Consider the following 24,398-nt stretch of genomic DNA (forward strand, 5'->3'; position numbering starts at 1 on the left):
CGGGGCGAAGGAGCGCTTGCCCGGACTGCGACCTTGACCTGCCCATGACCCGCGGCAGTCTGGAAATCCCCCATTGCCCCAGGCAGGATGGGGGTCCCCCATGGTCTCATCTCTGGCTGTTTCCTCAGGGGATCGCTCCGCCCACCCTCTCCTGCCTCTGTTTACCTTGGACACACTCAGTCTCCGGTGCAGGTGTGGGAGGTGGGGGTCTCGGAGCTTGTGCTCCCGTGAAGGGCACGGAGCCCCCAGTTGCTCTTGGCCATCCTGGGCTGCTATGAGCCAGACCCTCCTGAGTGCTGCGGGGAGGGCTGCTGGGGAGGCCAGGGGAGAGGGGATTATCAGAAGACTCCACCAGCCTCCCTTGACCTTTAAGGAGCTGCAAGCCGAGAATTTTCCCTTTTGATTCAGCTACACCTTGAGTTTTCTCTCTGGCGTTTTCCCTCATGGGAATTTCACAGCATCTTTTCTTCTTGCTGCCAGGGAAACTTGAGTCCTAGCAGGCATAGCCGTCTTTTGCTTCATGGGTGTCCCTGGAGGTGTGCGTGCATGTGTGTGTGTGCATGGGCGCATGTGTGCACCGAGGAACCGTGCTCCAGACACTGGGGGTGGGGGTGGGGAGGGTGGGGGTGGGGAGGGTGGGTTCCAGGGCTGCAGGGGACCAGCCCGGGCTTCCTGCCCTGTGGCCGCAGGTGGGTGGAAGGCAGAGCCTGGGGTGGATGAGTCTGTCGCCCACCCAGGCCAAGCCAGGCTGTTCTTGGGGTGGAGGCTGCGGGCCTGCTCCCTTACCCCTCTGCTGCCCGCCTAACTGCCCCTCAGGACCTCCCTGGCCCACCCGCCTCCCAGCTCCATCTCCTGCTGGCAGCTCCTGCCTGGGGGCAGACACCTCCCTCCCTCCTGGGCTCCCTCAGTCTGGCTGCAGGTGGCACTGTCGGGCCCCACAATGGCCTCTGCCCTGTCCCTTGGAGTGGGACCCAGGAGTCTGGTGGGTGATGGAGCTGGCGAGCCCGTCCCAGGCAGCAGCCTGAAGGCCCATGGGGTAGCGCGCTGGCGCCCGGGGACCCTGGTGTGGGTTTGTACTGCTGCTGCTGGCGAGCCAACCACTGGGACTTCCAGCTTCTGAGCCCGGGACCCGGGGGGTCCCACCAGCAGTGGGGACCTAGGGTCCCAGTCTACTGACCGTAAGGCATGGCCCCCCTCAGTGACCTGGGGCATTCCTCCCAGCCGCTTTGCTCTGGCTGGGCCACCAGAGGTTGGGTGGCCGCAGAGACAGCTCTGGCGGAGATTGGTGTCCCGACAGGGGTGGCGTAGCCTGAGCTGAGCACTGGGTTGAAATGGAAATTGCCTGGAGCCTGACAGCTTCACAGATTGGTTTTAATAACTCAGCTTCCCCACACTGCACTCTGTCACCAGAACAAGATGCAGGAGCGAGATAGTTGCTCCCTCCTCTCCTTGCCACCCGAGGCCCAACCCTGGCGAGGGTGCCTAGGGACAGGGCTGCATTGGCAGCTCAGAGCCGCTGCGGTGCCCTGGGAGGTCAGACTGAGAAGACCCACCAGACTGATGGGGGCAGCCCGATGCGTGCCTCGCTCCCAGGCAGGGGACCGCAGCCAGGTCTCTTCCCAGCCACACACACTGAGCCAGGATGACAGAAATAGAAAAGGAAGAAGCGGTTTAGAACAGAGAGCTCCCACGGAGAGCAGATCAGACCAGTAGGGAGGCAGAGGGACCCTGGTCATTAGAAAATGATAAGGTGTCAGGAGCCAAGGCAGCTTGCTCAGGGCCCAGGTTCCTGCCCGCCAAGGCCTCAGCACTTCCTCCCTGGCTCACTGAGACCCGCTGCAGTGGCCCCAGCCCATGGTCCCTGGGAGCCGTATCCTTGTAGAGACAGCTGTCTAGCCTGCATGAGGTTATCTGGGGAGGCTCTTGATGAGGGGTGTCCCCTCTCTGCAGAAGGAACCTCTTTTTGAGAGAAGACAGTTGTTGTCACAAGCAAGTGAGGCCCCCAGGCCCAGTGCCCAGGCCAGCTGCTACGCCTGAGTAGTAGTTGCCACCAGCCCAGACCAGCCACTACCCCCCAGCAGCGCTCAGCACCAGCCCAGGGGCCCAGCGTCCCGGCTGACTGGCTCTGGGTCCACATGGGTTGCTGCGTGGCCAGGCACACCTGGTGCCCAGCTTCCCTGTTTGAGGAGCGTGGCCGTGGGCAGGCAGGAAGCTCCTTCGTGGTCACCTGTCCCAATCCTCTGCTTCTGATGGCGACTGTGGCCACAGCATCAGTGCAGCGGTTCTTTATTCCTGTGCGTGAGTGGGCCTCAGTGACCAGCTCAGCTCTCCTAGCTTTATTTATTTTATTTTAGATGAAGTCTTGCTCTGTCATCCAGGCTGGAGTGCAGTCGTATGATCACACCTCACTGCAACCTTAACCTCCTGGGCTCAGGTGATCCTCCCCCTTCAGCCTCCTAAATAGCTGGGACCACAGGCACGTGCACAACTGGCAAATTTTTAAATTTTTTGTAGAGACGGGGTCTCCCCGTGTTGCCTGGGCTGGTCTCGAACTCCTGGGATCAAATGATGCTCCTGCCTCAGCCTCCCAAAGTATTGGGATTGCAGGTGTGAGCCCAACCCTTTCCCAGTTTTAAAACTGGAAGTCCCATATCCTGGAACCTGCTCAGATCCAGTGAACTGTGATGCTGAGTCCCCTGAGAGAGAGAGAATGTGTGTGTGTGTGTGTGTGTGTGTGTGCGCGCGCATGCACATGCGTACACATGTACATGTGTTTGTTAGAGAAACAAGGGTCTCCAGTCACATAGTCTGTCTGGGAGGGAGTCTGGCCCCCTGGGACTCTGCCCAGAAGACGAGACCTGGGAGTCTGCTGGGTAACTGAGAACTGGACTTTACCCACTTAGCTGCGAGAACTCGGGCCAGGAGCTGAGCTGCCAGCAGGGCATTGCAGCCGTGTGGCCTAGAGCGTGGCGTGTGGCGCTGGTGCCGTGCTTGGGTAAGTGGTCCAGGCTGCGGCCAGGAGGGCCGGCACATGGGAGCTATGAATGGCAGCTGTGTTTTCCCTGGCCTGGTCCCCTCCCCAGCCCTCATCATCGAGCCCTCTGCCTCGCTCTTGTCACTACCACTCTGTCGGCCTGACGCCATCAGCCCAGGCCTGCTTATCAAGACTGGGGAGTGAACTGAGCACCAGAAGCTGGCTTTGGCGTTCAAAAAATTAACTCGTGATGCTGCAAAGACCTTTGAGCCTCACACTGGGGCGTCCACAGCGAGGCTGGGATTGCATCTCTGCGCCTGGCGTGTGGGGCACAGGTGCCAGAATCACAGCTTCTCCGGCTGGCCTGATCAGCCTCCTGCCAACCTCACTCACGTTAAGCAATTGCGGCCCGATTGTGCCCCCAGGACAGGCAGGGCTCTCAGCTGTGTCTCGTGATGGTGTCCCCAAGGACTGGGAGAACACCTCTCGGCCAGGGTGACCGGGAAACCCGGGGCACATCGGGGCACTCACCGGGGCTCCCACCGTACCTGTCAGTGGGATCTGTCCCAGCAGGCTGGCTCCTGGCTCTTGCTGGGAGCTGGCAGGGACAGACACAGACACACTTGGTGTTTGTTCGGGGACTGCAGAGCAATTTTCATATCGCCTTTTGCTGTGTGAAAATCGCACTCCAAGCTCTCCTCCAGAGCCGTGCCACTGAGCTGGGGACTTCCGGTGTTTGGATGGTCGATTGCCCTGTGTGTGTCTGGACAGCAGGCACCGTTGCCCATGGATTTGGGAAACTGGCTTCTTGGTGAGCAGAGATGGTGGCCGTGATGGGGGCCGGGTGGGCACCCCGCAGCAGGCGAGTGTCAGGCGGTGGGCCCGTGATGGGGGCTGGGAGGGCGCCCCGCAGCAGGCGAGTGTCGGGTGGTGGCCGTGATGGGGACTGGGAGGACACCCCACAGCAGGTGAGTGTCCTGCAGGTCCCTCTTCTCATTCTTGTCCCAGGCTTGTGCTTGTGTTTTTCATCCACTTTTTGGTGAAGTCTTCTCCCCCTTTCTCTCTCTTTAAATAGGTCTTTATTAGACCTGTTTTAGATTCACTGAAAAAGTGGGAAGGTAGTAACCACAGAGAGTTCCCCACCGGGTTCCCTGTTATGAGCATTCTATATCAATGTGGTACACTTGTGATCATTGATGGGCCAACACTGATGCGTTATGAACTAAGATCCATTCTCCAGATTTCCTCTGTCTTCCCCCGTTGTCTTTTCTGTCCCCTGAACCCATCCGGGTCCCACGTGATGTTGTCCCGTCTCCGTAGGGCCCTGGGCTATTACGGTGTGTTTGATGCCCTGGACAGTGTTGAGGAGGGCTGGCCAGGGAGTTTATAGAACGTCCCCTAATCTGTATGTCCCCTAATCAGCATGTCTGATGTTTTTCTTGTGGTTAGATTGGGGTGATGGGTTTTAGGGAGGAAGACCACAGGGGCGAAGGGCCCTCCCATCACATCCTACCAAGGGTCAAAGGCGCAGCCATCAGCGTGATGTCACTGCTGATGTTGGCCCTGGTCACCCGGCTTGGGTGTGGATGTCCAGTGTCTCCACTGCAGAGTGGCACTCCCCCGCTTTCCATGCTGTCATCTGTGAATGTCAGGCCCACCAGGATCATCTCCCTTTCTTTCTTTTTTTTTTTTTTTTTTGAGATGGAGTCTTGCTCTGTTGCCTAGGCTGGAGTGCTGTGGTGTAATCTCGGCTCACTGCAACCTCCACCTCCCAGGTTCAAGCGATTCTCCTGCCTCAGCCTCACGAGTAGCTGAGATTACAGGTGCGTGCTGCCACATTTGGCTGATTTTTGTATTTTTAGGAGAGATGGGGTTTCACCATGTTGGCTAGGCTGGTCTCGAATTCCTGACCTCAGGTGATCTGCCTGCCTTGGCCTCCCAAAGTGCTGGCGTTACAGACGTGTGTCACTGTGCCCAGCCACCTCCCTTTCTTAAGGTTAACTGATTTGGGACCTTTATCACATCTTCGAGACCCTCACGGCAGCAGCACGGGGCATGTGTCACTCGAGGAGTGTGGGAGCCCTGGGGCGGGGAGTCCTGGGGTGTCTAGAGCCCTGGGGTGGGGACCCTGGGGCGGGGAGTCCTGGGGCGGGGACGCTGGGGCGGGGAGTCCTGGGGCGGGGAGTCCTGGGGTGTCTAGAGCCCTGCCTGTCCCGGGGCTTCCCTTTTGTAGGCATTTCTTGCTGTGAAACATGATTTGGTACAGAAACGGACATAAAGCATGTAAGTACCAGATATATATGCGTGTGTGTGTGTGTGTGTGTGTGTGTGTGTGTGTGTGCGCGCGCGCGCGTATGTTAGCAAATGACTCTCCGGCTGTCCCCTGTGTACCTCGATGTCAGGACACGGCCCCCACCTGTGCCTCCTTTTCCCAGCCCCCTCTGCACACTGTGGTGGTGGCTTCCTCCCGGCTCTGCTGGCGGCGCCCTTGCCTCTCCCCTTTGCCAGGCCGCGTGTGCCTGTGGCCCGGGCAGTGAGGCTGTGTGTTGGCTGCATTGGAAGGTCTTACAAATGGGCTGATTTCCTTGCGTTTCTGCTCAATGGTGTGTGTGTAAGATTCATCCGGTTGTGTGTGGTGGCAGTGCACTCATTGTCATGGCTGTGAAATTCCCCACTGTATGGCTGGACTTTAGTCGACTTTTTCCATTCTGCCGTGGACGGACATTTGGGCTGTTTCCAGCATGAGGCTTCTGCGAAAGACCTATCATCTCTTCACCTGCTGCTCATGTAAGAAATTCATTTTGATCGTAAGCCTTGCTATCAGTAACTGTGACTGGGGCTGCATTTATGATGTTCCGTTCCTCATGCAGCAGCTTTGCCTGGAGTAACCCTTTGACTTGTGCCCCTGGCTCCACGTCCTTGTTCACGGACGAGGCACAGATTGAAGAGACGTCCGATCTGCCCTTGAAGCGCTGCCCTGTGGGATCAGGAGGGCAGCGGGTCCTGGGAGCAGGTGCCAGGACGATGTGCAGCCTTGAGGACAGGGTGTGTCCCAATTGGCGAGGGTGGCCTGAACCCGAAGGTGTGGGTGAGGAAGGAGCCATTTCTAATGGAGTCACCATATTAAGCCCTGCTTAGCCAAACTTGAAGGTGACAGTTTGTTGTGGGACATGGAGATGATGCAGGGATGCGGGGACCGAGGCCAGCATGTGTGGTGTCCAAGGTCGCCCTGGGTGCTGCTGTGTAGGTGAGGGAAGAGGGACTGATGGGCTGCTTAGGGGGCCATGTCTGAGGGCAGGGCCCACCACTTCTGCCCACACCTCATTGGCCAGCACCCAGTCACGTGGCCACACCTTGCATCAAGGGAGGCTGGGAAATGTAGTCTGACCACATGTCCAGCTGGGAAGGGGCAGGTGAGACTTCTCTTTCCTGCCATGTGGGTGCTGGGTGCCCTGCAGGGGCTCAGCCAACAGGGTCTTGAGGTTGAAGAGATGGATCTGCCCAAGCCCTGACGGAGTGCTCATGCCTGCTCAGGGCCCAGCATGAGCTGCGTCAGGAGCAGAAGCCATTGGGAAGGGCTTTTGGTGTGGCCGGGCAGCCAGACACTCCACGCGCAACCCCCAGAGCAGTGCCAGGCCCGGGAGCCCTTGGGATGGAGGCAGGGAGAATGGGGGGCTCTGAGGACTGAGGGAGGAGGGGAGCCCGGTGAGGGGAGGATGGGTGACCAGCTCAGGAGCAGGGGCGGGAAGGGGGCATAGAAGCTTCCTAAGCAGGGGAGCTACTACTCTTGGCCATGTTCCAGGAGGATGGAGTGGCTGTAGGAGCAGGCTTTCGGGCCAGGGCCTGGGTGTGGTGGGAGCCGGGGCTGGCTCTGGACCCTGCAGGGGCTGCCTTAGCCTCACGCTGTCTGACCAGCCCCTGCCTCACGTCGTGTGCTGAGTCCTGTCTGCGGCCCCTCGCTCACCCGCTGGCTTGGTCTGGCAGGAGCAGATGGCCTTCATTTTGGAGTCTTTTGTTCAAAGCGGGCGCTTCGGGTTGGAGTGGCAGTGCACACGCTGGCTCGTGTCGCTTGTGAGGCTGCAGGATTTTTGTTTTAGGGAGGTAGGAGCCAAACAAACCTGGCGCCCGCTTCCAGGCTGTGGCATGCCAGGCGAGTCACCGGCATCCTGTCCCTGCCCACCGCTTTAAGAAACTGTTAGTTCTGTTTGAAATGTCATCACTGGGCGTGAATTCCCATCTTCAGATAATCCCGCCAGGCGGTGTTTGGATGAGGAGTTTATTCAGGCTGTGGGGGTCTGTGCGTGCCCGCGGGTCCCTCCCACTGCAGCCGGCGAGGCTGGCCCTGACCCAGAGTCGCCCGCCCACCCAGTCTACGTAGGCATTAGAGGTTTGGGTTCTGAGCTCAGGGCCTGGTTTCCATGGCAAATTTCTCTCCCTTCGGCGAGGCTGCTGCCGGCGGGGTTCAGCTCCCCAGAAGGGAGATGGCAGCAAATCTGCGGGAGGAGAGTCTTCGTTATCTTTGCTTAAAAATTGGGCAGCGCATGGCTTCCTCCCCTCCACACTCGCCAGCAGCAGGGGACAGGAGCGCTGGCTGCCTTCTGATGAAACGGGGCGGGCGCAGGATGGGGCCGATGACAGCGATGCTAATGGCCCTCATTCAGCAGCCTCCCGCCGAGGGCTCGGGCCGCTTGTTCTCCCTGACCTGATTGCGAGCCAAGCAGACTTAACCCGTGTGTGAGCCAAACCCTCCCGGAGCTCCAGAGCCCAGCCCGGGTCCCCGAGGCCCAGGGAGGGACCCAGCATCCTGCGGCCTCTGCCCGTGGTGGGCACAGGCTGAGACTTAGGTCATAGGAACAGGAGCGCGTAGCCTCATGGCCATCGGCCTGTGTGTGAGACAGTTCAACTCCCGTGCTCTCCAAAGCTAGTCCCATCATTACACGCGCCATTTAGGACGCTCCAGGCCATCTCGGTCACCAGGGGCCTGGCGGTCACCGTGTTTCCTCATGAGGCTCAGTGGGTGCTGTGTGTCTGTGGGTGCCGGTGATGAAATAAATGTAAGCATAGAGGCATCAGAGCATTTTAATAGATGGGAGCCTCCACAGCCTGCAGGTATCCAGACGACGTTCTGCACACAGAGACTCAGACTCCCACCAGGGCCTCACGCCCCACTGCCTCTCCGGGATGCCTGCGTGTGGCTCACTCCCACCACGGGCACATCAGCCCTGGTGCCCAGCTGGCCTTCTGCAGAGCCTGGTGCTGGAGCAGCTTCTCGAATTCTCTGCTGCCTCCTCCCCACAGCCTTCCAGGGCCTCAGAGCTGCTGCCAGGCCAGCACCTCCTTGGGCCCGTGTTGAGGCCCCACGGGGCTGGGCTCATGTGGGAGCTGATCTTGGCCGGGTGATCCCTCACTGCTCTGGACAAAAGGGAGCCATGGGCCGGGCATGGTGGCTCACGCCTGTAATCCCAGCACTTTGGGAGGCCAAGGTGGGCGGATCACCTGAGGTCGGAGTTTGAGACCAGCCTGGCTAATGTGGTGAAACCCCGTCTCTATTAAAAATACAAAAATTAGCCGGGTGTTGTGGTGGGTGCCTGTAGTCCCAGCTACTCGGGAGGCTGAGACAGGAGAATGGCGTGAACCCGGGAGGTGGAGGTTGCAGTGAGCCAAGATTGTCCCATCCAGCCTGGGTGACGGAGGAAGACTCTGTCTCCAAAAAAAAAAAAAAAAAAAAAAAAAAAAAAGGGAGCCATGATTGTTCTCCAGCTGCAGTCCCTGTCTCTTCAGACCCTCTGTGCTCTTAGGAGACTGTCGTTGTTCTCTCCTTTTTAAACCATCCTGTGCCTTTTAACAGAATAAACGGCAAGGGGTCCCCACTGAGGTCGAATAATGCTGGAGGAGGGCCGTGGGTCCAGGCATGGTGGGGGCTGCCTCCTGGTTGTTGATGAGCAGAAATTCAGGCCGGTTTGACGGCAGGCACGTGAGGGAGGTTGCTGTGTGTCAGTGGCCCTGTGTCCCTGGCACTGTGTCCGAACCTGACAGCCGCCGCTGTGTCACTGGGCACCTGCCCTGCGCACCCTCCCCTGTGACGGGCACTCTCACAGCTTTCCTGGCGAGGCTGAGGGAAAAACATGGCAAACAACTCGCACATGACTTTGCGTTTTTGGCCTTGTCATATAATAAAAGTAATTTGTGGGCCTAAAATAAATCAGGGCTGGGGATCAGATGCCTCCAATCTGGCCTTTAATTGCAGGCGTGACATGGCTTGCCTCGGCGAGTCTGCTCCTAATTAAAGTGGGCTGGCGGTGTATGAAGTTCGCACGGATCCTCAGGGTGCTGACCCAGCCCCGGTTCCGGAGGGCCAGTGTGACGACACCTCGTGGCCCAGGAGAGCAGGGCGGGCCACCCATGGCCACCGTGCCAGGAATGGGGTCTTCTGGCTGGCCCTGCGAGAGCCGAGAGCTCTGTCTCCTCCGCCTGCTGCTCCGCTTTGTCGGGCATTCCTGTGGGCGGCTCTCCCCATCCCAGGCTCCCCATCTTCCCTGAGCCGAGGCTCCCAGGACTCTGCTGGTCTCCTGTGTGTCTCAATAAAAGGTCATTATTTGAAATCATTGTCACCACTGGTTTAAGATACCAAATTCCATCATCTCTTGTCCCGTAAAACGATCCATTAAAGATAAAGCCACTGCAGCTCAATAAGGCTGTTTCCTGGGAACAAGCCACCCTGCTCCCTGGCAGATCCTATCTCCCAAGCAAGTATTAGTATCTGCCACATAAAGGAGCCCCTGTGCTGGGGACAAATGAGGGAGGTGGCCTTTCCCCAGGATGAGGCTCCATGAAAGAAGATTTTTCCAGTAGAAACAGGCAGGTTGGCTCATGCCTGTAATTCCAGAGCTTTGGGCAGCTGAGGCCAGAGGATTGCTTGAGCCAGCCACTGGAGCTCGAGAACAGCCTGGGCAACATTGCAAGACTCCATCTCTACAAAAAAAGAAGAAAAAATCAGCTGGGTGTAGGGCGCACACCTGTCATCTTTTAGCTACATGGGAGGCTGAGGAGGGAGTATTGCTTGAGCCTGGGAATTTGAGGCTGCAGCAAAGACCCTGTCTCTTAAAAAAAAAAAACAAAAAACAACAACAAAAAACAACAACAAAAAAAAACAGAAGAAAGAAATAGGGTAGCTTTCCATCAGATATTGGAGGAGTTCTGTCATTGCCTTGGGAGGAGCCGTGCAGCCCAGGCTGGGCTCCATTTCTGCAGCGGTGGCATCTGGGGGAGCAGGGCTGGCCCCGCAGAATGCCAGGGCTGGAGCCTTCCCCATGGGGCCTGCACCTGCTCTGGGACTCCCGTTTCTCCTGTGAGTCTTTGCGAAAGGGTCTCACTCCTCCTCTTCCTGCCCTCTGTCCGGTCCCCTGTAATCTCTCCCTCCCAGCAGGCTGCGGTTGGTGACATCTCCTCTCCCTCTCTCTCAGCCAGGATATGGGACCTCAGTGCTCTTGGCAGTTCCCGGGCTGTCTGTGTGTCCTGGCCTGTGGATCCACTCCCTTGCCTGTGCAGGCACTTTTTCTAACATCTTTATCTCTCCAGACTGACCTGTGGGGCAGCTGCCTGTCCTGGGCGACCCATCCTCCTGGGGTGGCCATCGGTAGCATGCCTTTCCTGCTGCTGGCGACTACGTGATGAGCTCTGGCACCTGCCCTTCCTCCCGTCCGTCCCCATGCGCTGTTGCAGGGGTGTGGAGGGGTTTTACCCAGGGAGGCACTGGCTTCCCAGGTCAGAGCCTGTGAGTACAGCAGGCAAGTGCACTACCAGGTCTGTGTGTGGCCTTGTTTGTGGAGAGAATTCCTGCTCCACCCTAGACGAGGGACAGGTTTACCCTAGTGGGTTTAGAGTGTTCTGTTAATGTTCTTTCTGCTGTAGAGGAAACCCTCTTTTTGTTGACTTTTTTTTTTAATTAAAAATTCTGCCACCTTGCTGGGCTGTGTTTAATTCTATAGTTTTACCAGTTTCTTTGTTTGCTTAGATTTCCTAAGTAGAAACTTATGTTATAATTAAACTGTTTTTTTTTTTTTTTTTTTTTTAGAGATAGAGTTTCCCTCTGTTGCCTAGGTTGGAGTGCAGTGGTGCAGTCATGGCTCACTGCAGCCTCAACCTCTTGGACTCCAGTGATCCTCCTGCCTCAGCATTCTGAGGAGCTGGGAACACAGGCATGCACCATCACGCCTTACTTAGACGTTTATATTATGATTTTAAGAAGTTTGTCTTATCCCTTCTGCTTGGTAAACCCTTTGTCTTTTTCTTGATATATCACATTGGCTAGTGTCTCTAGTGCAGTGTGACGTGTGCTGTGATGATGGGCAGGTTGTGTCCTCTCCTGCCTCGCCATGAAGGTGGTAGTGGGAGAGTCCCTGCTAGTCCTGGTTGCCTGAGAATTTTTGTACCAAATGCTTTGGAATTTTTGATAGATATTAATTTTTGGAATGTCTTTGCAACCTTGGAGATAAACTCTTCTTGGTCTTGCAATAGCCTACTGTGCTTGACTCACTAATGCTGTATTTAGGATTTTTACATCCACGTGGGACTGGCTGATCATTTTCTTGCGTGTTCTTTGTTGGTGCTGGGGTTTCCCATTTGTTCATTTATTCATCCATTTGGAAAATATGCCGGATTCAGAAAACGAGCTCAGTAACGTCAGATATTCCCTACTGCTTGCCAACCATGTGTGTACATGGGCACTGTCCCTTTAGATGAAGGTCATCGGGCAGGATTCATTAAAACCACCTGGGCTGGTGCCTTTTCCAGAGAGGACATCTGTGACCTGGTCTCTTCAGGGTTTCTGGTGGGGCCTGTGTTGACTTGGTGGACACCCTGGGCTCCACAGTGCTGAAGATACTCTGAAGAGCCAAGTGCATCTGTGGCACTGAGCCCAGCAACGCAGGCAGGGACCGTGGCTCTCTGGTCCTTGTGTCCCCAGTGCGGTGAATAGGTCCTCAGGTTCCTGTGAACAGCTTTGTTTGTGGTGCAGTTTCCATAGCATACATAGAAGGCGCTCAGAGAACTTGGCCATTTCCGTGGACGGAGTTAACACGGCGCAGCACGGTGGCCACCACACAGACCTGTGTGTCCCTGGCCCGGTCACCATGCGGCTCTGAGGAGCAGAGCAGAGGAGCCACCCTGGCCCGGCTCGTCTTTAGCTGGCTCCGGGACTGCATGTCGGCTGAGGGGCTCGTGTGGATGTGGGGCTGAGACAGCAGCTCTCTGTTGGGTCTCGCAGGAAGCCCACCCTGTAGCCGGCTTGCTCTCCTTCCCGGCCTGTGCCAGCCACAGGGCAGTGCGCCAGAGCCATCTTGCTGGGTCACAGGCCGGGGCCACCATAGGGCTTTGTTGCGAGGGTGGCGGTCACCATGGCTTTTCCGTTCTGTTTGCAACTTGGGGTCCCGGGGGCGCCACTGGCGTTTGGATCTGCCGTGGCCCTCCTGGGCTTGCGTGGGTGGCTCACTCTGCCAGGTGGCCTCTGTCCAACCTGACACCTGGTCTCGGGTACTTCCAGCGTGACGTGCACGGGCTCTGCCTCCCTCATTCTGTGTCTGCGATGATAGCGCATTAAATGGCGAAGGCCCGTCTGCCCAGGCCTGTGCAGACACTGTGAAATTAACTTTCTCACCCTCCAGCACGCATTGGGCTGTGCCGACATCTCTGAAGGGCTCTTGGTCGGACCTCTGCTCTTGGCACACATTCCTCGGCGGCGGGGGTGGGGGGTAGGGAGGAGAGCGTTTTCATCCCTGGCACCTAATTGCCGAGAGCTTCCGCTGGCAGGAGCTGTCAGGCTGGGCCGTGGGTTGGATTCCAAGTGCCACTGTCACCTGGGAGAAAGCTACACGAATCTTAAAAAAACCTTACACTATGATGTCCCGTTGCCTGGTTCAGAGCCATCCACAGGGACCAAGCAAGATGGTGCCAGGCAGGGGCCACTGCCAGAGGTGAGGGCCACAGAGTCCTGGCTTGAGAGCCTCCAAGGAGCCCATTCCGCTTGCAGTAGGAGGGAGAGGGCGCTGGGAGTCACCTGGTCGCTCTGGAAGTGCCGCCCAGGTAGGGAGCCTGGGGCAGCCGGCAGGTGTGGTGGGGACATGTGTGGCCGGCACCAGCATCACACCCCTCATCCAGAGACTTTGCCCCGATCTCGGGTTTTCTGCCTGGTCTGAGAGGCAGCGGCCCTGCTGTCATTGCCTGCCCATGGCTGGCAAAGGCAGAGGCTGTGAGGGGACAGGATATTGGACCCCCACCTCCTCCGCCTCGGGTTCCGAGGTCAGGTGCGGTGTGCTTTGGCCGTGGCAGGCGGGGTCCCTGGGGGTGCTGGGGCGTCAGCCAGGCAGGCAGTGCCCACAGGCGAAGCAGGCAGCCCCACTGCGCAGCGTCACCTAGCACAGGAGGGGCCACAGCGCCTGCTTTGCAGAGACCAGTGGGGGCCACGCTTTCATGGAGCCACATGTGGGCCCGCCTCAGGCTGGGGCCCTGTGGGATGGTGCCCAGGGGTGGCCTGGGCCGTGTGACCCCAAGCCCGTCTGCTCACCGTCATCGTAGCTAAGGGCTCCCTGGCAGGTCCCAGCTGCCCAGGACGGCCTGTGTTCCCTTTCCTGACACACTCATTTAATTTTTAACTCAAAGGCATTTGCTTATTTATTTTCATTGTTCTTGATAATAATTCTAAGCCATTAGAGGGGAAAATTATATTCAAAAATGCTGTTTCACACTTTATTTGTTTGATGATTTAGAGCGATAGAAAATAGCACATTTGCTGGCTTTTATAGTCTGATAATTATTCACATCCATCAAGCCATTCCGGGGGAATAAACAAAACACCAAGAAATTACACTATTAATAGCATCCTCTGCGGTGGACAGAAAACTCTTTCCGGGGCCAGCGTGGCGGCGAGATGACAGTGGCCTGTCCGCTGGCTGGAGGGGAGCGCCTGCCTGCAGAGAACGCCTTTGCTTTCATTCCCTGGTTCCGGCTCCAGCTCCGGCTCCGGCTCATGAGCTGCCCGCCATCCATCCCCTCCTCTGCACGGCCGGGGGCTTCTGGGGCCCATGGCAAAGGTTCGCCCACCCGTCGCCAGGAGCCCCTGGGGAATGGCGCGAGCAGAAGAAGCAAGGCTGTCGGGGCCTCGCAGCATCCCCCGGGCAGCTCTGCCGCCAGCCCAGACTCAGGCCTGGTCTCAGCTCGCTGGCTGAGCCTGGTGGGGCATCCCCACCCTCTGGTCTCGGTGCTGAAACAGGGACATGCGGCTCGTTGCTGCCTACGTTGGGCCCAGTCCTTGGCTGCAGTCCTGACCTCCCGTGTGACCAGTGTCTCTGGACACCAGTCAGACTCATGTGTGTCAGGCCGCGGGGCTCAGCCTCAGTTGCTCTCTGCTTCTGGGTCCCAGCCCCTCGAGAGGTGGCCCGGCCCCCACTCTTGCCCAGTGGGTGGCTTTGAGGCTTTTAGCTTTGCCTTTCTTGGGTGGCAGTAAAGTGTAACGTTGGTGACATTCACTACTCAAAACACCTCAAAGTGTAAAAGAGAAGCTGGGAAGGTAGAGGGTCCGGGGGCTGCCCACCTGCCCGTGCCCACCCACCCACTGCCCCTGTGCCGGGGTGTCCTTCCTTCTGGATCTCATGTCCTTGTTGGCGCCTCACATGTGTCTCCCCATGGGCCTAGGAGGTCACTGTGCTGCCTCACATGTGTCTCCCCATGGGCCTAGGAGCTAGTACACTGCTGGACCATCATTTTGTTTGTTAACCATCATGTGACCTCACGTGTCTTGTGTCCCCAACTCCAGAGGGGCCACGTCCTAGCATTTGTCTCTCCCATTGTTTTATTTTCTCACCCACGCTGCTTTGGCTTGCACATGACTGACTTTCCGAAAGGGTGTCCGATGCCTGGGTTTGTTTCTTGACCTCCTGGTCACCACCACGTATGGCTCTCACGGAGCTTGTGGAGCCTTCTGCGGCCAGCACCAGACACCAAGGGTGGCTACCAGGTATATGGCTCCAGATCCCGGGCTGGAGATGCGGAGCCGAGTTTCTATGACTTTGTGGTTTACTGTCTTCCAGAAGGACTTGTGTACAGCATTCCAGAACAGAGGGAGTGGGTACGGGGGGCAGACAGCCAGGGCTTTGAGAACACGGAGATGGAGACCCCGCTGGGGGTGCTGTGGACAGTGGTGCAGAGGAGTGGCGATGCCCGGGTCCTGGGTCCTGGGTCCCGCGTCCTGCGTCCCGGCCGATGTGAGTCCTCAGACCTCCTAATAGCATTCGCCCTGATTTAGAACCAGATTCCTCCAGGCAAGGCCAGGGGCCTGCAGTGGGTGCACCTGAGGGACCTGTGCAGGCCACCCCTCCCTCCCGAAGGCTCCCCTGGCAGCCTCCTCAACAGTGCTGTCTTCAGCCCCCGCCCAGACATACCCCAGGGCACCTGCTCCGTGCTCGGAGAGCTTAGCTTGCTGCAAGAGTCCTTGTTGCACTGAGCTAAGTCTCCCCACCCCCTTAACATTTCTGACTCTGCCCTCTGAAGCCCCGTGGCTGTTCTGCCTTGCACAGACCCACGAGATTCCAGGAGTCGCTCTTCCTGCTTGCTTTGTCTTGACCTCTTCAGCTTCTTCCAGCAATCCCTGTGCGCTGGGCCGCAGACCCTCCGCACCCTGCCCCTGGCTTAGGGAGAGCTGATGGCTGCAGAGGGCTGGCCACACACAGCCCCAGTCCTGGGGACGTGCTCTGAAGATGGTAGAAGGGAGGGACACGTACAATGACCTGGCCTCCAGGGCTCTAGAGGGTGAGAGGTGGTCAGCCCTTGCGGGGTCCCGGGGAGGTTGACAGAGTCAGAGGACAGAGAGCTGGTGTGGGGGCCTTTGTGTCAGCAGGAGGTGGTGCTGGCATGGGGGAGGGAGGGGAGGGAGGGAATGCCAGGGGCTTGTGGGCAGGGCCCGTGCAGGTCATGGAGCCGGTAGCATCTCAGAGCTGGACAGAGGAGGTAGGCTGGGAGCAGGCCCGGTTGGGGACCAGTGGCCCCTGCACAGGAGCCAGAGGGCCTGGGCAGCTGTCTGTCCAGAAAGCATGCAAGACCCCGTGCCACCCGGGCACACAGGGCTGTCGTGTCTAGAAAGAGATCTCCTGGGGTCACGGGCAGGCAAAGCTGATTGATTTTGGCCGTGAAGTTTGACCTTGTGATGGAAACCGAGCTCCCAGGGAGTGAGACAAACTGCCTCCCCGTGTCAGTGGCCAATAAACCTGACTTGGTTTTACAGCCCCGAGAAATTGCTCACTAATAGCCAGACAGATGCTCCCCCTGCCTCGAGCTTTAGTGAACAAACATTTCCAAACCAAATAGCTGCTTTTGCCTTTTTTTTTTTTTTTCCCTCCAGAGCCAAGGCCAAATGTCAGGGATGCCCCAGCATGGCCCCGAGCAGGGACTATGAGGAGGGGGCCGTGCATTCTTCGCTCTTTGGGGGCCTGGGCGGAGGACCCTGCTGAGACGCCCCTCTGGGAGGCCCGAAGGCTCCCTGAGTCTCTTGTCCTGTGGTGACTGTGGGTCTCTGCCGTGCATCTGCTTCAGTCCGCCAGTTCCATGGCCCGCCCACCAGTGCCGTCGCAACCCCGTCCTTTGGACTGGGCTTTTCAGGACATCCGGAGAGCCTTGGTGTGAGAAGCAGGCCCCGAGGCTACCTTCTGGTCCCCCGTCCTGGGGTTGGTCCCCTAAGCGAACGCAAGCGTGCTTTCAGCCCTGTGTGGACGGAGCGTGGCGCCTCCAGCCTCACTCAGTTCTGTGTGTCCTAAGCCGTGTCCTGGCACTTTCTCTTGGAAACTGAGGTTTTTCTTCCGCCTGTGTCCTTGGGGGTGGCCGGGAGGCAGGTCTGCCAGCATCAGGTCTTCTGGTCCCCGAGGCCGTCGCTGGGTTGTTCCGAGTGGCGGGAGGTGCAGCTCGCTGTTGGGCACTGGCGGTGGCGGAGCCCAGAAGTCTCCGTGGCTGCCCGGCCTCTTGTCCAAGAGTCCTTTGTGATTTCTGTGGGGGCTGCTCCTCTGAACGCTGGGCCTGCGTCCCGCAGTCTGTGCTTTCTGATAACGCCAGAGCCACGTTCCAGTGTATTAAACTTTTAACATTCGCCAGATTCAATTAATCTTATCTTTACAACTCCCAATTACAGGCAGTAATTAAGTGGAGCAGCATTGTAGGCTGGGGATACGGCATTAATCATCGCAGCCTTGGAGCCATAAATTAGTTCCTTCCCGTCCCCAGCATCTTCCCAGAAGGAGCAGAGTGTTTCATTCCCTGTGCGGAGGGGTCTTTAATCCCACAAAGGTGCTTTGGATTGGGATTAAAATTTCTCATCTTTATGTAAATCATAAAAGCCCATTTAAAAAAGAGGAATGCACCCCTGTCTAGACAGTGGAAGACTCTCTGAGGACGACAGAGTTGAAGGTGCTGGGGTCGCCTTGGCTGGGGACCCTGGGAGCATGCCCAGAAATTAATTATTTGTGTCCTGTTAGATTAGAGGCTCCGTGATGTTCGCCTCTTCTCTGGCTCCTGCCCCCTCCTTATTTATTTTTATTTTTATTTTTATTTTTTTTAATTTTTTGAGACAGAGTCTTGCTCTGTTGCCCAGGCTGGAGTGCCGTGGCGCAATCTTGGTTCATTGCAACCTCCACTTCCTGGATTCAAGCAATTCTCCTGCCTCAGCCACCTGAGTAGCTGGGATTACAGGCGCCTGCCACCACGCCTGGCTAATTTTTGTATTTTTCGTAGAGGCGGGGTTTCACCATGTTGGTCAGGCTGGTCTCAAACTTCTGACCTCGTGATCCACCCGCCTCGGCCTCCCAAAGTGCTGGGATTAGACGTGAGCCACTGCACCCGGCCTGTTTGTTTGTTTGTTTGTTTGTTTTGAGACAGAGTCTCACTCTCTCGCCCAGGCTGGAGTGCAGTGGCACCATCTTGGCTCACTGCAGCCTTTGCCTCCCAGGTTCAAATGATTCTTTTGCGTCAGCCTCCCGAGTAGCTGGGATTACAGCCTCCTGAGTAGCTGGTATTTTGTATTTTTGGTAGAGGAGGGGTTTCACCATGTTGGCTAGGCTGGTCTTGAACTCCTGACCTCAGGTGATCTGCCCGCCTCAGCCTCCCAAAGTGCTGGGATGACAGGCATGAGCCACCGCGCCTGGCTTCTTTATTTCATTAAAAAACAAAGTGGCCTTTCAGCTGGAAGGGGCTGTAGTGGAGCAGGGGCCGTCTCCCACCCTCTGAGCTTTTCCTTGTCTTGCTTCTGCCCTGGGAGGGTCTCGGGGAGAGACCATATCATGTGTCCTCTCATCTGTGTGACTGTTCTAGAACGGGAGCTGTTGGCCTTGTTACTCTAGAGTTGGGGTCGAGGATGGGACTTGACCATCCTCAGCTGGCACTCAGCTGTGTGCCCTCAAGTCCCTGAGGCCCTGTCCTCGTCCCCTTCGCTTGGAAATTGAGGTTTTTGTTTTGCCGGAGGCCTTGGGAGTGGGCTGGGTGGTGTCCCCGTTGGCACTGGGGCTTCTCGCTCCCCCTCAAGGCTGCGGCTCCTGGTGCCCACCCTCCCTGATGGGAAGAGAGTCCCAACATCGCAGGTCTCCAGCTTCTGGTACGGCATGAGCGGGATGCCACCCCCACTTCGCTTCGTGTGTTTGCACACTTTCATCTTATGTCTTTCTTATTCATGATGGAGCCTTGGTGATCTTTCAAATGTAAAATGTGTAAAAATAAAACTTACAAAGTCGGTGACAAATGCAGCTTTTCTCATTTCCAAAGCTGCTTTTTCCCTGTTGGCTCCCAGTGCCGGGAAAGGGTGACGTGGGCCTGGAGACCGTGACGTGGGCCTGGAGAGCGGGCTGGCAGCTCCGGGGGCCCCAGATGCTTGCTGTTCCAGACTCGGCCCTCCCAGGGTCCCCTCGCCACCCGCAGTTCCAATCCAATACTTTTGTTTTTTGCCTTTTCAGCCTCCTCGAGGTGGAGTGCCGCTTAACCGGGAGCATCCCCACTCCTGGCTTTCTGAGTGTGTCACAAGCCACCGAGCCATGGTCCTCACTCCCCGCTCCTCCACCTGCCCCACCTCGCTTCCTTACGGATTCCGTCCTGAAAGCCCCCACCCCCGGCCATCCCCTCCACACAGTCCTGACCATGACTCCACTTTGCTTCTGCCCTGGGCACTGTCTGCGTCTCCCCAAGGCTGGTCCCACCAGGGACACCCCCTTGCGTGGCTGCCACCGATCTTGCCTCTGACGTGCCTCCCTTCTCTCGCAGGTACGCCATCCCACCAGAGCACGGCAAGCGCCTGGAGCGGCTGGCCATCGGTAGGTGCCTGCCCTGAGGGCCCCAGGGACCTGGGACCAGGTGGGAGGGGCCTGTGGGTGGGGAAGGGCAGCTGGCGTCCCCCGGGCTCTGCTGCGGTCTGGGTTTGGGTTTTGGGGAGTGGTGACATTCTTTGAGCCATTACTGTGTGATTTTTTCCATTTCCTCCCACCCTCGTGGTCAGATTCACGCCCTTCTGCCGCGCAGTTTGTCTCTTGTGAAATTCGCACAGAATGCCCAGACGCTCCTGTTTTCCAGTTTTCTTAGCGCAAACTTCTTGGGCCTGGTCAAAGGCTGCCAGGGCCCAGGGAGGGCAGCCTGTGTTCATTTTCCTCCCATCACCTGACCCCACACTGTGCCCTTGCTAATTCTGAGAAAGCCTAGGAAAGGAGACAATTCAGCCAGCAGTCCGCTTACCTGCGGGGGAGCAGACATGGTGGCCGCACGGCGTTTGCCCTTGTTCTGCTGGGACCCAACCTGGACACCTTTGGCAAATGTCCTCACTGGTGATGCCACCAGCTCGCGTTCATGTGCTCCCTGGGGACTCTTGGGAAAGAAGGGGTTTGTCATAGAGGGTCCCAGCATGTGCCTGAGGGAGTGCCAGATCCTCAGGTTGTGGGATACTTGGAAACAAGTCAGACAGCTGGAGACACCCGGGATGGGGCCACCCTGAGCTCCCCTGACCACCCAGCCCTGAGGCACTTGGGCAGGGTCCCCATGTCAGCGCCGGCATCACAGCACAACAGGGGTGCAAGTTTCATGACACCTCACTGCTCCTAAGTGCCTGGAGAGTCATGAAAAGACACAGCTGGCTAAAGCAGTTCCTCCCTCCCGCTGGTCCATTCCCAGCTGCTCAAGAGCTGGCTCCTCCGCATTGGCAGGTGGACAGCTTGGGGTGCGTGAGGGGTGAGGGTCAGTGAGGGCCCGTTGTTCCTCTGACAGCATTGAGAGGGCCCTGTCCGAGCACCCCGCCCTTCAAGGACGGCGTCAGGCAGCTCAGCAAGCGACAGCCACAGCTTTTCCAGGAGCTCTCACCCAGCCTCAGTACAGGCTCCCGGGACTGCCTGGTTGCTGTCCTCTGTCCCTTCCAAACCTTCGAGCCAAAGGACGCCCGCCACATGCTCTCTTCCCCCTTCCCATGGGCTTTTGGCTTTGGAGATGGGAACTGTCAGTCTTTCTAGGGAAATAAGGGTCTCCTGTCCCAGAGACTGCGCCAGGAGTCACGTGGCTGTGCAGGAAATGTTGCCCAAGCGCGGCAGATTCGGTGGTGGGGACGGAGGGGAAGGGAGTCCTTGGGGAGTGGGCTGGGCCCTCTCCTGGCATGTGCTCTCCTGGCTTCTGGACTGAGGGCTTTGCTCTTGGTATTTTTGAGCGTTTCTATTGGAAACCTGGACCCCTTTCTTAGGCACAGGTGAATCCTGGTCTTAGGAGCACGCTTCTGGTAGTAGAAATTCTGCAGTCACAGACAGGCCGTAGCAAAGGTCCAGCTCACTTACATACTAAAGCTGTGAAAGAAAAGCTAGATTAAAGCATTTCTCCCATTGTATGTTTTTAATACCAATTTCCAAAACAAATTTGAAGACATAAGCTAAAGAAACATTCCCCATGTTGTATTAGCATCCTGAGGCTCCTGTAACAAATGACCACAGAATTAATGGCTGAAAACAACACACGTTTATTCTCTCACCGTTCTGGAGGTCAGGAGTCTAAAATGCATGTTAAGGGGCTAAAACCCAGGTGCAGGCAGGGCCAGTTCCATCTGGAGGCACCAGGGGAGAACCCACTTCCCGCCTTTTCCAGTGTCTAGAGGCCGCCCGCATTCCTTGGCTCGGTCCCAGGGGAGAACCCGTTTCTGCCTTCCCTTCTCCAGCATCTAGAGGCCACCTGCATCCCTTGACTTGGGCCGCATCACTCCAGCCTCTGTCTCTGGTCTCCTCACTTTCCTCTGCTGTAACCAACAGTCCCTCTGCCTCGCTGTTCTGAGGACCCATGGAATGACATCGGATCACCCGGATAGCCAGGGTGCTCCCCCACCTCAAGATCCTTAACTCGATCCCATCTGCAAAGTCCCTTTCAGCATGGAAGGTACCACACTCACAGGTCCCAGGGGTTAGCATGTGGGTGCCTTGGAGTTCCATTTTTCAGCCAGCCACACTTAGAAAGCCACTGAAGAAAACCTCACTGAGCGGTCAGGGAGCACCTGTGGGCTCCTTGTCTGCTGCAGGCATGACACCCCACACCTCTGTCGTCCACACGGCAGTACCTCTCTACTGCCACAGGGCAGGGGATGCAGGCGCAGCCTGGGGAGAGCCAGCAGCCCCGGTGGGGAGCAGGCTCTAGGCTCCGCAGTCTGTACTGGAGCTGGGCTTCACCCAGGCGGGCCCCTCCTGGTGCTCTCTGGTGCCCAGATCGAGAGGGCCACCCCATCCTTGCCAGCCACTTCTCCCCCTCCATATTTAACTGAGACTACAGTTAGCCACTGTCCCCTCCCTTCTCACCCAGTGTGACTTTTGCATTAGAAAAGCAGAGGTTGACAGGAGCCTGCTGGAGAGGCCACAGGCAGGATCTGGTGAGGCCACCCCTGTCCCCAAGCACTGCCACATCCCCTCTCCCTGGAATGTGACCAGTTCTACCCTGAGGCCAGGCCAGGCACCTGGAGGGCTGGTTTGGTTTCTAAGTGTGCAGAGGGCTCAGTGCCTGGGCTGGGTGAGGGGGAGCCAGGGAAGAATTAGTTCTTGGTGGTGCTTTCACAGGGGTTCTTAGAAAGTATGGACTCTGGCCAGGTGCAGTAGCTCACACCTGGAATCCCAGTGCTTTGAGAGGCTGACGTCAGAGGATTGCTTGAGCCCAGGAGTTCAAGACCAGCCTCAGGAACATAGTGAGACTCTGTCTCTGTAAAAATTAGCTGGGCGTGGTGTTGTACATCTGTAGTCTCAGCTACTCAGGAGGCTGAGGCGGGAGGATAGCGTGAGCCTGGGAAGTCAAGGCTGCAGTGAGCTGTGATGGAGCCACTGCACTTCAGCCTGGGTGACAGAGTGAGACCCTAGTCACCCTTCAGCAGGGCAGAGCAGCTTCTAAAATTCTGGGAGCCAGCCTGGCTGTGAACCCCGAGGAGGGTCAGGAAGGTTGTGGGATGTGTCAGATGCCTGCAGCTGCGTGGAAACACCTTGAGTCCCCTGTGGCCTCTGGCTCAGGGCCCTGCCCTCCCCTCTGGAAGGCAGCTGGGGGCAGGATGGGGCACTAATGGGGAAAGCCTACCCGACCCCCCTTGTGTTCCTAGGTGCCCCTCCCAGACTCTTTTTGGGGCAGGCGATGTGTTCCATCGTTGGGACGGTGGAAGGGGTGTGCGAGTAATATGGAAAATGAATAGCTGTGCTCCAAATGGGCTCACCGGGAGAGTTGTGGAGCCTATGGAGAGAGCATTAATGTGCTGGCGCCTTATTGGTGCTAATCACTTAAAATGTGCGCCTTTGTTAGAGCTTTAATGAGAGCCACTTAAACTGTGCATTAAAAAGAGGAACTGCGGAGAGGCCGCCGGCAGGCCGGGCGGCAGGCAGTCATCATTCTCGTTGAAATGCTTTTAGTGTGGAGAAAAGTTGCTGGATTCGGCAAACCCCTGTACTTTGCAAAACCTCACCGTGGTGTCTGCGTGGCTGGGTGTCAGCAGAAGCACCGTGGCCCCGCTCTCCCGCCTCCCCGTGCGCCTGGGCCTCCGTGTGCTGGTGCTCTCGCACACAGCTGTGCCGCCTTCCACCAATGACCCAATGGGTGTGTGTCCCGTCCTGGAGGCGCTTGAGGTCTGTGCAGGCTTCTAGAAGGGCCCTCGGGCTGGCCGAGGCTGTTGGTCAGTCCTGGCAGGAGGTGGACGCCTGTGGGCTTCCTGTCTGCTGCAGGCGTGACACCCCACACCTCTGTCGTCCACATGGCAGTACCTCTCTACCGTCACAGGGCAGGGGACGCAGGCGCAGCCGGGAGAGAGCCGGCAGCCCTGTTGGGGAGCAGGTCCTAGTCTCCGCAGTCTGTGCTGGAGCCGGGCTTCACCCGGGAGTGCCCCTCCTGGTCCACATCTGACCCCCGTCCTCCTGCCTCCTGGGCCGGCCTCCTGCCCGTTGCCACTTGCAGAGTGGGTGGTGGAGCAGGAAGTGCCCGAGATGAGGCGGTAAGTCCCCTCCCTGAACTGCTCTTCCTGGCTTGGGCCCGTCTGGCTCCCCTGGTGTTGGTTCCGGGGGCCCGGCTGCTTCAGGGAAGTCCCTTTGGCACAGGGATTGTGTTGCACACTGAGGGGCGTGGGCCTCAGCAGCTGCTGCCGGGAAGCCGGGGCATCCTTACCTTACCCGCCAAATGCACGGGTCTTCACCTTGTGATTTGGAAACATTCCTGAACTGTGCTAATTAGGAAGCTTGGTTTATTTTTTATTTTTATTTTTATTTTTGTAGAGATGGGGTCTTGTGATGTTGGCCAGGCTGGTCTCCAACTCTTGGCCTCAAGAGATCCATCTACCTGCCTCGGCCTCCCAAAGTGCTGAGATTCCCTGTGTGAGCCACCGCGCCCAGCCTGGCTGTGAGGTTTGTGAAGGCGCCAAGCTGCTGGTGTGAGTGCCTGTTTCCCAGGCGCTGCTTTAAGTCAGCTGCAGAGCGCACTCCTAGACAGACAGCCCCACACACATGTACGCAGCCCACCATGCTGAGCACGGCCCAACAGGAAGAGGTTGTGAGCTCTGACCACAGCTCGGGGTCAGGCCCACTCTGCCACTTCCTGGTGGTGCTGGGGCCGAGGGTGAGTCAGTTGGTGGCCCGGGCCTCGATTTCCTCACCTGTGCAGTGACAGTGAGGACACCCGCTGTGCTGTGTGGGGGGGCAGGTGCACAGTCTCATTCATGGCCTTGAAAGCAGGTGCCCAAGGGGGAGGCAGCACTGCTAACTCCTCACCGTCCCTGGCTGGTCTGGTTCTAGAACATCAGCTCCGAGAGGAGAGCGGCCACACTGCGTCCTTTCCCCAGGGTCGTGCTCTCTCGTTGACTGAGTGACGAGAGCGGCCACACTGCGTCCTTTCCCCAGGGTCGTGCTCTCTCGTTGACCGAGTGACGAGAGCG

General features: G+C 57.7%; 1 protein-coding gene across 16 annotated transcripts in view, besides 1 other annotated feature; it reads left to right on the plus strand.

The window, feature by feature from the left end:
• KDM4B (lysine demethylase 4B) overlaps positions 1 to 24,398 on the plus strand; it is a 184,486-nt gene that overhangs the window by 82,639 nt on the left and 77,449 nt on the right. For 15 of the 16 annotated variants that reach the window (XM_005259521.5, NM_015015.3, XM_011527814.3 and 12 more), the window contains one exon: positions 19,259 to 19,308. The exons of the other annotated variant lie outside the window; for it this stretch is intronic. In XM_005259521.5, coding sequence (XP_005259578.2) covers positions 19,259 to 19,308 — 50 coding nt within the window. The remainder of the gene's footprint in view (positions 1 to 19,258; positions 19,309 to 24,398) is intronic. 16 annotated transcript variants of the gene reach the window in all.
• Positions 253 to 752: an enhancer, noted in NCBI's record as "H3K4me1 hESC enhancer chr19:5052015-5052514 (GRCh37/hg19 assembly coordinates)". NCBI's record gives its function as "activates a minimal SCP1, AML or CMV promoter by ChIP-STARR-seq in primed H9 embryonic stem cells {active_cell/tissue: H9 hESC(primed)}" and the evidence as "EXISTENCE:reporter gene assay evidence [ECO:0000049][PMID:30033119]".

The sequence above is a fragment of the Homo sapiens genome, chromosome 19 (genome assembly GCF_000001405.40).
Source record: "Homo sapiens chromosome 19, GRCh38.p14 Primary Assembly".
NCBI classification, from domain to species: domain Eukaryota; kingdom Metazoa; phylum Chordata; class Mammalia; order Primates; family Hominidae; genus Homo; species Homo sapiens.